We start from the raw sequence: 13,875 nt of genomic DNA on the forward strand, positions 1-13,875 counted from the left end.
CCATGTTGGCCAGGCTGTTCTCAAACTCCTGGACTCAAGCGATCCACTTATCTCAGCCTCCCAAAGTGCTGGGATTACAGGTGTGAGCCACCGCACCCGGCTAGACCCTCTCTCTCTTAAAAGACAAAAAAATTAAAAACCAAGTTTAAAAATGTTGTATTGAGTTTTTAGGATGTGAATATATATTTATTTCCTACATAAACATCTACTGGAATATGTCAAAATGAGGATTCTTGTTTTTGTTTTTGACTTATGGGTATCACAATCTATGAACCTCCTTAAGAGGGGAAAGGGAAAACGCTAAGTTTGGGGAAAGCCTTTAGAACAAGTCTAGCCAGTAAAGGTTTGCTGCATTATCCATCTGAGTCATTAACTTTGTCAATAGTTATATTCTGTCACTCATTCATTGATTCATTCATCCCTTCCAAAAATATTTTTGGAAAATTCACTTCAGGCCAACTTCTGTTGCTAACCTTGAGGGGACATGGTAAATGAAATACGTTCCCCTCCTGCGAGAAGCCAACATTTTAGGGGGGAAAATGAAGGCCGACTGTGGTAGGTGCTTCGATGGAACTAGGAGCTGGTGACAGAGGCTAACTTCAGAGAAAAGCTAGCCCCGGGTGGGAGGCAGGATCCTCGCGCGGATAGCAAGGTATTCGCACCCTCGGTCTGCACTGCGCAGTCGGGCGCCAGAAACCCTCCAGGCCCCAGCCGGGTCCGAGGGAGAAGGGTGCGGTTGGATTCAACACCCGCCCCAGGGAAAGAAGGTGAGTCTATTCGGTTTGCAAGAAAGGTCTCGCGTGTTATCTTGGGCGGGGGGATGATACGATCGTATTCTAATTATCGGCCCCCAGTGGATCTGTCCCGCGTCCTAGCTGCTGCGGCGTTCAGTGGGCACGTAAGAGACACCTGAGGAGGACACTAAACCAACATTAAGGCAGCAGACAAGGGAAGCCGCCGAGGCTAGGAAATCAAAGTGGACCGCGCTGGGCTGGGGACGGGCTGGGGACGCACTGGGGCGGAGGACCAGGGCACAGGCGAGCTAGCGGAGGAGTCGGCTGAGGCCATTCAGCCGCTGATTTTCGTCCTGGAACGGACTTCGCGTAAACACACCGAGCCATTCAGAGCTCTCTCCAAGTCACATTCTGAGGCTCCGGCCCCGGAACTCTGGGCTAGACGACCCCGCCCCGGAACCTTGTGTTACCGGCACTAAATGCAGAAGTTCCTCTGGTTGCCACCGGACGCAACTGTCAGGTGACGCTTCCGGCGCAGAAAAATGGCAGCCGCCGCTCCGGACTCACGTGTGAGTGAGGAAGAAAACCTGAAAAAGACCCCAAAGAAGAAGATGAAAATGGTAACTGGAGCCGTAGCGTCGGTGCTGGAAGACGAGGCCACAGACACTTCTGATAGTGAAGGTAATGTGGTAGGGCTGAGCTTTGGTGTCTGGGAGGAAAGGCGGGGCTGAGTTCGTGTCAAGCAGCGCTTGCGACTTCATTTGCTGCTAGCCACCTGGGTTTTATCTTGGCACCACTTCAGAGGGGCGACTTTGGCTTAGTGAGGAGGCTTGGGGAAGTCGTGTTCAGAGAAGTAACGCTGTCAACTGTAATTTTGAGTTTCCACATTCTTTTACTAGGTATTTTCAGGGTCACCATTATTAATTATAATAAAATGGGTGAAACACCTGCAGCTACCGAGAAACTTACAGTAGCAAAGGGTGAAAGGAAGAGGGTACTTGAAAACAGGAGAAGAATGGGTCTCATAGGGTGTAAGAAGCAAAAGGTTAAAAGAGGTAAGAGGAAGAAGGGGGTGTACTTGACTTTTTGTGCGGTAGATGTGTGCGTGTTTTAGAGACTAAATAATAGTGAATGAAAGAAGAGTTTGGTGGTTAAGGTCGATTAAAAACTGGTAGTGTTTGATAACTATGTCTCTCAGAGACGCTTGATAATAAAAGGAAGGAAGGATGTGTTTTTGAGGCTTTCAACCATGCTGTGTCTGTTGCTCCTCTTTACCATCATTCTTGGCACCAGCTTATTAGGTTACAAGGAATTGCAGGTAATCCCTGACTTCCTACTGCCCAGTTATTGCTCCTTTGTACCAGCTGATACCCAAAAAACAGACAGAGCTATTCTTTTATAACGTATTTCTAATTATGCCCGCTGTCTGTTTGAGATGATCCAGTGGCTTCTCATCTCAGTATATAATATCCAAAATCCTTAGGCTGTATGATTTGGGCCAGGTTGTCTGTCATAGGCCAATATGCCCCTCACAAACCACTAACTGTAATCATGCCATACCGGTATGCTTGTGTTTAACACCTTAAACATGCTCCCACACCATGGTTTCTTCATTTGTTGGCTCCGCTGCCTAGAATAGTTTTCAAATGCTTGGCATGTCTCTCCCTCACCAGCCTCTGATCCAGTGCCTTACCAGAGAGACTTGTCCCTGACTACCCTATGTAACGTACCACCACTACTCTTCTTCCTGCCTTCTTTTCTTCACTTTTTGACTTATTGCCCTGCTTTATTTTTTCTCAACCCTGCCCAAACCATTTGATGTATGTATTTGCTGCTTTCCCAATTGGAATATAAGTTCCATAAAAATAGAGCCTACTGTATCCCCAGTTCCTATTGCCTTGTGGGTCCTTCACAGATATTTAAGTAAATGAATGAATTAACCTGGACTTCCAGGACCAAGAAGAAAGTGTCATATGCTACTGCAATTCCTAGGTAATTAGAGTCTTCATCTCCTGCCACATTGTTAAGGAAAACAAACTATTTGTTGGGCCAAAATTAGAACTTCTGGTTCTGATATTTTTTAAATTCATTAGACTAGTTCAAACACTATTGTTCAAGAAGGGAAGAGTACTATATTTGCTATATTTGGAGCAAAATGTCAGTACTGCTTACAAATTGGATTTTTCTTTTTCTTTTTGAGACAGGGTCTTGCTTTGCCACCCAGGCTAGAGTGCAGTGGCACAAACAGGGCTCACTGCAACCTTGACCTCCTCCCCCACCGCCCCCCAAAGCGATCCTCTTGCTTCAGCTTCCCCAGGTAGCTAGGACTACAGGCGCATACCACTGTACCTGGCTAATTTTTTTTTTCTTTTTTTTTTTTTTTTTTGGTAGAGATGGGATTTTGCCATGTTGCCCAGGCATGTCTCGAACTCCTAGGTTCAAGTGATCCACCCGTCTCGGCCTCCCAAAGTGCTGAGATTACAGGTGTGAGCCAGCACACCTGGCCAAATTGGATTTTTCTATTCAAATACTGGATAATTCCAAGTTGGAACTGTTCTGACTTTTCAGCGTATTATTATAAATGCTGATTAGGTTTTAAGGTTCTCTTGCTGTTATAGATCAGCCACATTACGGGTTAAAAAGGTTTTTGGCCAATATGGAAACCTAATTTATCTAATTCAATTCAATGAACACTTGTTGTGTTCCCTTAGGTTCCAGTCACCCTCTAGGTGTTGAGGATACAAAGGATGAATATATTTCTGCATTAAAATTTCAGTTTTAGGAAAGATATTAAACACAGGACTGTAATATAGTGTATTAGTATAATTAAAAGGTAGTTTTCAAGATCATGGTTCAATTTTGGAAAGGTAAGGATGGAGACAGAGAAATTCATATCCTCTGGAACCCAGCCTAGGCGTTGCTTACTTATATCTTACGTGTATTATTGATAATATACTATGTTATTATATTTTAACATATCTCTCTCCTTATAGAGATAAGTTCCCCAAATGTCAAAAGTATGTCTTGTTTATTTTCACAGGGTCTTCTTTGCATACTTTAGTATTCAGTAAATTGTTTTGTTGAATAAATGTATAAGGTGGCATTCTATCTAGGCTTTAGAAGGATGAATAGTTTTCCTGACCTGGGAGTATAGAGGGCAGTTTTCTCAGACATAAAAGCATATACAGTGGCATGCGGTCTCTTAAAATTCATGGCCTATTTCAGACAAAGTAATCTTCTGTTATGGCTCCAGCTGTTCAGAGAAGTGACTAGAAGTAAAACTGGAAACAATGGTTAAAAGTAGATTATAAAGGGCCTTGTGTATTTGTAGGCAGCAGGGAGCTATTGAGAACTTTTAAGCAAGATGGTGACAGTTGTTTATAAATATTACTGCCAGATGTACGGTGACTGCCAAAGAGTGCCAGGACAGTTTGTAGGCAATTGCAAAATTCTATGTTAGGATCTGCACTAGGACACAGCAGTGAAGACAGAGAAGGGCCCCACTTGAAATATTTTTCAAAAAGAAAGTATTCAATTTTGCAAACAGGCAACTTTCATGTGAGCTTATAGCACCATAGGTTTTGGGCATACTACACTGTTAGAGGAATTGGATAATAACAATAGTTATACTTTTGGAACTTTCCTATGTGCCTGGTTCTGTTCTGAGTTCCTTCTATATATCAGCTCAGAGAATTCTGACAACTCTATGAGATAGATGCTGCTATTATCCTCCTGTTACATTTAAAAAACTGAGGCACAGAGGCTTATAACTTGCCCACTTCTGTACATAAGCAGATAAGCAAGTTGATAAATGATACAACAATTATTGAAGTTTGATTGTAGAGCTTATGCTCTTGACCACTACCTTAATATGTTTGAGGAATCAGGAGGACATAGATAATTTTAAAAAGTATCTGGAAAGTGAAAGCGTTGGGCCTTTGAATCTAAGGAAAGAAAGGATTGGGGACAAGGAGACTTTGGTATGGAGACAAACTTTTCTCCCTCCCACTCAAGAAGATTTCATCACCAAGGGACATTTTTGTGTTCAGATTTCTATAGCACTTCCAATGTTTATAACCAGAGTATTCTTTCCTTCCTTCCTTTCTCCTAAAATCCATATGTTATTTCTGGAAGCAAATTCCCCTGTTCACTCAATTGTATAAGAGGCACCTGTGATGGTACTACCTTTCAGAGTGACTTTGTGCTAGTTATTATTATCTACCCCAATTTCCTCATCTACAAAATGAGGATAATAATAATGTCTACTTTAGGATTGTTGTAACAATTAAATGAGTTTATATATGGTAAGCATTTAATATTTGGCACATGGTACCCACTCATAAATATTAGTGATGACGATGATGTCTCTTCTGACCTAAAAAAACTGCTAGTCCCATCTCTTTTTGCCAAATAAGTTTTCCCACCTTTGGTAATGTGGTATTTGTAAGCTGGAGCTCTCCCCAGAAAAGAGGTTTGAATTATTCTAGTAACCCTGTAAGGTAGCTGATGGCATTTCTATTTTACAGATAAGAAAAGAAGCTTGGAAATAGTGCTTCCAGTATATCATATTGCTTCCTAGTAGAAAACTGTTACCTCCATAGGTGCAAGATGTTATCTGTTATTCCACTCGTTTTATTCCATAATCTAACCATTAGATCATATATTTTTGGTAAAATTCAAGATCAGTGATAACGATGTTGATAACAATTGATTGTGTCTGCTTGGTTATGCCATAGACACATTTTCTTTGCCAAAGCTGCTTCTGTCTCTAAGAAAGACACTGCCATCTACTCCCATCCAAGCTGGAAACACAAGTGTCATCCTTTAGTCTTCCTGTTGCTTCCATATCTATTTGGTTTAATTAATCCATTTATTCTGTTGCCACTACTTTAGTTCTTGCCCGCATCTCTCTCTCTCTCTTTTTTGAGATGGAGTTTTGCTCTTGTTGCCCAGGCTGGAGTGCAATGGTATGATCTCAGGTCACCCCAACCTCCACCTCCAGGGTTCAAGTGATTCTTCTGCCTCAGCCTCCCAAGTAGCTGGGATTACAGGCATGCACCACCACACCCAGCTAATTTTGTATTTTTAGTAGAGACAGAGTTTCTCCATGTTGGTCAGGCTGGTCTTGAACTCCTGACCTCAGGTGATCCACCCACCTTGGCCTCCCAAAGTGCTGGGATTACAGGCATGAGCCACTGTGCCTGGCCTTGCCTGCATCTCTTTTGTTTACATTAGTTCATAGGGTACCTATCTGTTGGGCCTGTCATTGCAGCCTTACTCCCTTCAGTCTTCTAGGCAATTGCTTCTTTAACCATCAATGTTGAAGGACCATTCTGAGTTTTGTTTTTTAATCTCCAATCTGTAATAGACAGGTGTTTTTTTTAAAAAAAATCAATGAAAAAGAGTAACTGGAAACATGACCACATTGTTGGACATCATGGTAATATCAAATTACTATAAATGTTTATAAATACTTACTCTCAATTTGTGAATTCGCAGTTGATTCTAGTTACAGTAATGTTCAGTAAAGTTGCAGGAAACCCTGAATCCCTGAATTAGTGAACCATTGCTTCTAGAGGAAATACAGTTTTAGGCTCCTGTGAGCCTCTGGTCAGAACATTTTTGTCATTTTATCAATACATAACCTTGTCTTATGTGGATTTTTTTTGGGTTTTTTGTTTGTTTGTTTGTTTTTGTTTTTGTTTTCTGAAACAAGATCTGGCTCTATTACCCAGGCTGCTGGAGTGCAGTGGTGCAATCTTGGCTCACTGCAACCTCTGCCTGTTAGGCTCAAGCCATCCTCCCACCTCAGCCTCTGGATTAGCTGGGACTATAGGCGTACACTACCCACACCTGGCTGATTTTTGTATTTTTGGAAGAGATGAGGTTTTGCCATGTTGCTCAGACTGGTCTTGAACTCATGAGCTCAATTGATCTGCCTGCCTTGGCCTCCCAAAGTGCTGGGATTACAGGCATGAGCCACTGCTCCCAGCCTTATGTGTGTTTTTGTTTGAAGACAAAGAAGAGCTCCACTTGAAATGGTTTTCAGAAAGAAAGTGTTTGATTTTCCTTGGCCACATGCGGGGGGCATACATCTGTAATCTCAGCACTTTGGAGGCTGAGGTGGGAGGATTGCTTGAACCCAGGAGTCTGAGGCCAGCCTAGGCAACATAGTGAGACCCCGTCACTACAAAAAAAATGGAAAAAACTAGCTGGATATGGTGGTGTGTGCCGTGTGCCTGTAATCCCAGCTACTTGGGAGGCTAAGGTGGGAGGGTTGCTTGAGCCTGGGAGTTCGAGACTGCAGTGAGCTGTGACTGTGCCACTGTACTCCAGCCTGGGTGACACAGCATGACCCTGTCCCAAAAAATAAAAAATTTAGACTGGACATGGTGGCTCACACCTGTAATCCCAGCACTTTGGGAGGCCAAGGTGGGCAGATCACTTAAAGTCAGGAATTTGAGACCAGCCTGGCTAACATGGCAAAACCCATCTCTACCAAAAAAAAAATATACAAAAAATTAGCCCAACATGGTGGTGTATGCCTGTAGTGCCAGCTACTTGTGAGGCTAAGGCATAAGAATCACTTGAACCTGGGAGGCAGAGGTTGCAGTGGGCCAAGATTGTGCCACTGCACTCCAGCCTGGCTGACAGAGTGAGACTCTGTCTCAAAAATGAATAAATAAATTTTAAAAACAAAACTCTGAGATTAAAGAAAAAGGAAAAAAAAAAGAAAGAAATCATTGAATTTTCCTTTTTTTTTTTTTTTTTTTTTTGAGATGGAGTCTCGTTCTGTTGCCAGGCTGGAGTACAGTGGTGCTATCTCGGTTCACCACAACCTCCGCCTCCCAGGTTCAAGCAATTCTTCTGCCTCAGCCTTCCGAGTAGCTGGTACTACAGGCACGTGCCACCACGCCCGGCTAATTTTTGTATTTTTAGTAGAGACGGGGTTTCAACATGTTGGCCAGGATAGTCTGGATCTCTTGACCTCATGATACACCCACCTTGGTCTCCCAAAGTGTTGGGATTACAGGCGTGAGCCACCGCGGCTGGCCCCCCACTCCCCACCCCCTTTTTTTTTAAGACAAAGTCTTGGTCTGTTGCCTAGGCTGGAGTGCAGTGGCATAATCAGAGCTCTCTGCAGTCTTAACCTCCCAGGCTCAAGCAGTTCTCCCACTTCAGCCTCCAAAGTAGCTAGGACCACAAGTGCGTGCCATCATGTCCAGCTAATTTTTCATTTTTTGTAAAGATGGGTCTCACTCTGTTGCCCAGGCTGTTCCCAAACTCCTGGGGTCAAGTGATCCTCCTGCCTCGGCCTCCCGAAGTGTTGGGATTACAGGCATGAGCCACTGCACCCAGCCTTCAATTTTTCAAACAACAAACTTTAATGCAAACTCATAGCACCATACATTTTGGGCATACTGTACTGTTAGAGGAAGTGGATAATAATAGTTATATTTAATATACTTTGTTGATTCATTAACATTTGAACTCATGGATGGCCAATAACGTGCCTGAAAAAAGCTTATTCAACACATATTTTCTCTGAGAGGCACATTGCATCCTTGTGCTTAGGGACACTGCACAACCCGTCAGCATTATGCTTGTGGGCCATTTTAAACATTGCTGTAGCCAAGAAAAAGCACAGAAATGGAAAAAATGTGGCACTAAATAGCTGTAGGAAGAACACCAGTTTACAATGAGAAAGTTAAAACAAGGCAGAGTGTCTCCTTCAGCCTCAGCTAGGAGTGTGCATGTAGGGAGACTCCAACCCTTCACTGCTCTAAGCATGTCTGTGAATGACTGCAAAAGTGCCATGAGTATTGATTTGGGGTTACGAATACATTTTACTGAGTTAGTGAATTCTCAAATACAGAATCCACAAATAACAGTGATTGACTGACTGAATCTCCTTGTAAACTGGCAACAGTCTGCATACCCAACCTGTGTGATCTGACCACTGCTTGCCTCTCAGGCTCACATCTTGTCATTCCCTAGACGACTAGGGTCATAGCATTCTGAACTAGTTTCTGGAATACAGTCTGCTCTCTGTCTTTCTAGTCGTGCTTATGGTACTCTATTGGCATACTCTTTTTATTCTTTACTTTCTCTTAACCAGCTTTTCTCTATCCTTTAGGTTTCAACTTAAATGTCTCCTCCACTTTGTCTTTTACAAATTTTCCTATCTCTGCAATATAGATAAATAATAAAGGATCATATATTTTACTTATTATTTTAAAACTTTTTTTTCTTATTTTTTTTTTTTTGAGACAGGGTCTTGGTATGTTGCCCATGCTGGTGTGCAGTGTGGCATGATCATAGCTCACTGTAACCTCCAATTCCCATGCTCAAGCAATCCTCCTGCCTCAGCCTTTTAATAATTGGGACCATAGGTGCACACCACCATGCCTGGTTAAAGAGTCCTTTATTTAATACAGTTAGTAATATAGGTCTGTTGGTTAAAGATGGGACAATTCTTCTTTGGCTTAACTCAGAATTTGCTATTTAATATAAGAAATTGCTGTTTTCCGCTCATGAAATTAAGTATTTCTGTAAAGGTGACCCATGGAGGTGGATTTTCTAGTCAGGTAGTTGTATACATGTGGTCTTGGTTAAACTATTAAGTTATCAAAAACTTTTATATGATAGTACTGAGAAACTATAAAGGCAGAGTCTTCAGACCTATGAGGAATCAGTGTGTAAATTACAGATATATTTAAAGAGTACTGACTTGTTTTATCAGGAAACTGAATCAGGCACTTATCTTTGAATTTTAACTGGATTATAAAAATTGATAGGGATGTGCCCTATATCGACATTTGAAAAACTTCCTTTAGTAAGACGCTACTTGAGTTTCATAGAAAACCCAGATATAACCCATATGTTGTTTGAATTTTATTTTTCTGGCTTTAATTTCTTTTCACATATTGTATAAGAAAAGTAGAAGAGTGTGCTTTCATGAGAACAAAACTCAAAACTCAAGTATTGTTTGTTAGACTGCAGAAGTTTCCTAAGTTCCATGGGGACAGAGACCTTGTTACTGTGAGGACAGCTATATCTCAGTTTGACATAGAGCCTGATTCATGGTGTAGTACTTGATATCCATTTATTCACTGAATAAATTGGAAATTTCTCTTAACATGATTTTTTTAATACTCTTTTCTCATATACTAGATTATCATGGAGGTGAAATTAGCAGTTATATATATCAACTTGAATAATAGCAAAATGACTAAGATTGAATTTTTGGTGAATTGCAGTACTGTCAGTACGATTTGAAATTTGATCATAATAAAATTGAAGGGGATCACGAATTAGAGATATACAGCCGGTGAATGTGGAAAAAACACCACTCAGTGTGCTTTTCTCTATTTTCTCACTCAGCCACTCAACAGCAACAATCATCACAGAAGACTTCTGTGATTAAATGTGTATGGATTCATTCTCACACCCTAAGCAAGTAATCAATTCTGCAGTGGATACCACCTGTTTGCTCTCCAATTCATTTCAACATTATCTACCTGGAGGTAGTGTCAGACCCCACAGACTGAGGGCTCAGCTTCATAAGACTGCCCAAACCCTTCAGATACCAGTCCTAAATCCAGACCTCTGGAACTTCTGACCAACTGACTTAAAATTGGGGTTCCCATAATCTTCCCTTTGGGTTCGATTAATTTTCTAGAGCAACTCACAGAACTCAGGGAGACACTTAAGTTTATGGGTTTATTATAAAGCATATTACAGAGGATACAGATGAACAGATGCATAGGGTGAAGTATAGGGTGAAGGTGTGTGGAGCTTCCATGCCCTCCCTGGGTGTGCCGTCCTGCAGGAACCTCCAGGAGTTCGGCTATCCAGAAGCTCTCTGAACCCTGTTTTTTTTTTAATGTTTTATGGAGACTTCATTACATAAGCATGGTTGATTAAATCATCGAGGTGACTCATTTAACTTTCAGCTTCCCTCCCTTCCCAGAGGTTGGGGAATGGAGCTGAAAGTCCCAAACTTCTATTCCTGTCTTGGTGCATCTGGTGACCAGCCCTGATCCTGAAGCTGCCTTGGGGCTACCAGCCCTCAATCATTAGCATACAAGAAGATACTCCTTTGGAGATTCCAAGGATTTTAGGAGTTGACCAAATAGATATTTCACAGTATCACAGAAGGTAAAGTGCTACAGTCTGCATTTTAAGTAATATATAAATGACAAGTGTTATAGAGGGGAAGGTGATGGCCCTACCTGAGTTATCCCTGAACTACTCAAATTTATTGACTTGATACCTTGTTGGAAGTTTAGATACAATATATACTCGGTTCTTAAGCTTGTAGTCTTAAAACAATAAAAACCCCAAAACAGAAAAACAGTCTTCCTAGTCAGTAAATCACCTCAGGTGAAAAAATAACAGTGGTTGATGATATCAAGTATGATAAAGGGTAAGATGATAGCCCCTACCTCTGAGTTATCCTTGAGCTACTCAGATTTATGGAAGTTAAGATGCAACTCTAACTAGGTTCTTAAGATTGTAGTCTTGGGACAGGGTGCGGGGGAAGCGTCTGTTGTCTGTAAATCAACCCAGGTTAAAAAAAAGAAGCCTTGATTGTTACTCGGGGCTGTGATCTGATTGACTCCTCCCTCATAGAATGTGCCCATATGACTATAAAACAATAAGGAATATCATTTCAGGTTTTCCAGGCAGCTAAAAAGCCTGAATTGTTCTTGTTATGTATGTGAAAAATGGCCATCTACTTATAACAAAAGACTTGATAACAATTCAGGTTAGAAGGTCCTAGGAGATATCCCTTCATTTTTGATAAACTACAATGCTGTATTTAAGATATAATAACCTAGTGGATAAATGTGCTTTTCATCAAACTGTAGCTTATAGCCTCCTTTATCATTTAAGTTACTTGAAATAGCAAAGGAACATGCCTAAGAAATGAAGTATATCATAGTCCTACTTGAGTGGTTTAGCAATTTATAAGACAGGCTCAGGAAACAGACTACTTCCAGAGTCTATCTGTTTTGGCTTGCCCAATAGCACATGTAATCACATCTGAAAGTGTTTTCCCATGGTACCACTATCATTTTATTTTTGGTTATTTTTATGGAAACCTGGGATGACTTCATTTTTTCAAAGGTAACTTTTTTTTTTTGAAGTTTTAAAGCATCAATTTTGAATATTCTAAATTTAGTAATTGGCAGGAAAGACCATGTGGCATGAGCAGAACAGATGATTTACAGCTGAATGGGGAGCAGTAGTTTTAGAGAGCCTTGAATAACTAGGGGGATATGTATACTTAGGTAAAATCAGAATGAGGATGGTGAGCAGACTGTTCAGCTTAACTGAGGCTTAGATAGAAATTTTTTAAATTCAAGCTTTATTAAACTATGTTTTAAAATATTTAATGAGTAGTTACATTAGTTCAGTACACATTAGTCCAAATTGAATCTCTGATACAAAACTTTGTAGTGTCTCACAAGTTGACAGCCCCGTTAGCTTTGCCTTTTTGACTTTGAGCATGTTTTTAACTTTTCTAAGCTTCAGAATCATCACCTGTGTAAATACAATAATAAAAGCAACTCATAGAAATGTTGTGAAATGAGCTGGGTGTGGTGGCTTACTCCTGAATTCCAGCACTTTGGAAGGCTGAGGTGGGTTGATCATTTGAGCCCAGGAGTTCAAGACCAGCCTGGACAACATAGTGAGACTTCATCTCTACAAAAAATTAGCTCAGCGTGGTGGTGTGTGCCTATAGTCCCAGCTACTTGGGAGGCTGAAAGGAGAGGATTGTGTGAGCCTGGGAGATAGGCTGCAGTGAGCTAAGATTCTGTCACTATACTCCAGCCTGGGCGCCAGAGTGAGACCTTGTCTCAAAAAAAAAAAAAGGAAAAGAAAATAAGTGTTGTGAAATGATAATACATAAAAAGTGCTTTATAAATAGTGCCTACATCTAACTACATGTTAGCTAGTTAGTATTATCATTATTTTACAGTACTTTGGAAAGGTTGTAGCACAGAGACATTGGCCACTCTTGAAATAAGCAAAAGGTGGCCTGCATGTGATGATTCCCTGGCATACGAGTTATAAACTATAACAAGACTTAGGCAGCACTTTTATAATTGAAGTCACACTTATTTTCCCTCTATTTCTTGACATCAATTTTTAAGCTCTCTTCTCTGTTCCCCAGGTCCTCAGGATCTCTGTCTGTCCTCTGATTACTGATTATCATTTATTTAGTGCCTACTATTGTGCCAGGTCTGTGCTAAGCGCTTTTCATGTGTTATCATATTTAATCATCATAGCAACCCAGTGAAGTAGTTACTGTTTTTATCCCTGTTTTACTGATAAAGAAACTGAGACACAGAAGGGTTAGGTAACTTACCCAAAACTAGGCTATTAGAAAGTACTGGAATAAGAACATAACACCCCAAGTCTAATTCAGTAATCTGAGCTCTTAACCCCTATGCTATAACTCTCTAGTCATCTAAAGCTTCTCATTTAACACCTCACATGAATTCAAGATTCCCAGTACCAGAGGCATTCCTTCCTTGTTTCTTTCTCCTTCTCTACCACAGCCACATAAAAATTCTCATTGTATGTGTCTGTGAGTGTATTTCTGCATGTGTGTGTGGTGTGTAATCAGCATTTAAGTGGTGCTTACTAAGGGGTAGGCACTCAAAGAACTTTACATATTTTAATTATGAAAACCCAATGAAGTACCATTTTATTCCTATTTTTACAGATGAAGAAACTAAGACAGAAGACTTAATGTCAGAAAAGCCACTTAGATTAGTGTGTGGAGTTGAAATTGAATCCTGGTAGCCTTACTTCATTGTCCCTTACTAACTGTCCTCAATCACGTTTTTACCGGGAGTTCTGTTTGACTTAGGGCAAATTTTAAAGGTGTGAAGGAAGTTAAAGGTTAACCAATAGGCTTACCACTTTCAGGTGGTATTTACATTTTAAAAGAAAAACTGTAATAGAGAATGTTTTTAAAAGTAAGGACTTAAGATAAGTGCTAAGAGAAAAAATTCCAGCTATTTGGCCTTTTATTGGAAGCACACACCTGGAGTATGAACTTTTAAACTACTTGGTTTTAATCTTGGAATTGATGTGTATTGCATTTCTTGGATCATAAATCATG

General features: G+C 40.7%; 1 protein-coding gene across 4 annotated transcripts in view, besides 2 other annotated features; it reads left to right on the top strand.

The window, feature by feature from the left end:
* Positions 631 to 700: an enhancer, noted in NCBI's record as "active region_2539". NCBI's record gives its function as "activates an Ori minimal core promoter by ATAC-STARR-seq in GM12878 lymphoblastoid cells {active_cell/tissue: GM12878}" and the evidence as "EXISTENCE:reporter gene assay evidence [ECO:0000049][PMID:35858748]".
* Positions 1,231 to 1,510: an enhancer, noted in NCBI's record as "active region_2540". NCBI's record gives its function as "activates an Ori minimal core promoter by ATAC-STARR-seq in GM12878 lymphoblastoid cells {active_cell/tissue: GM12878}" and the evidence as "EXISTENCE:reporter gene assay evidence [ECO:0000049][PMID:35858748]".
* RRP15 (ribosomal RNA processing 15 homolog) overlaps positions 1,253 to 13,875 on the top strand; it is a 52,691-nt gene continuing 40,068 nt past the window's right edge. For all 4 annotated transcript variants that reach the window (XM_047421798.1, NM_016052.4, XM_047421797.1 and 1 more), the window contains exon 1: positions 1,253 to 1,415. In XM_047421798.1, coding sequence (XP_047277754.1) covers positions 1,277 to 1,415 — 139 coding nt within the window. In that variant the 5' untranslated portion in view covers positions 1,253 to 1,276. The remainder of the gene's footprint in view (positions 1,416 to 13,875) is intronic.

This window comes from Homo sapiens, chromosome 1 (genome assembly GCF_000001405.40).
Source record: "Homo sapiens chromosome 1, GRCh38.p14 Primary Assembly".
Taxonomy (NCBI): domain Eukaryota; kingdom Metazoa; phylum Chordata; class Mammalia; order Primates; family Hominidae; genus Homo; species Homo sapiens.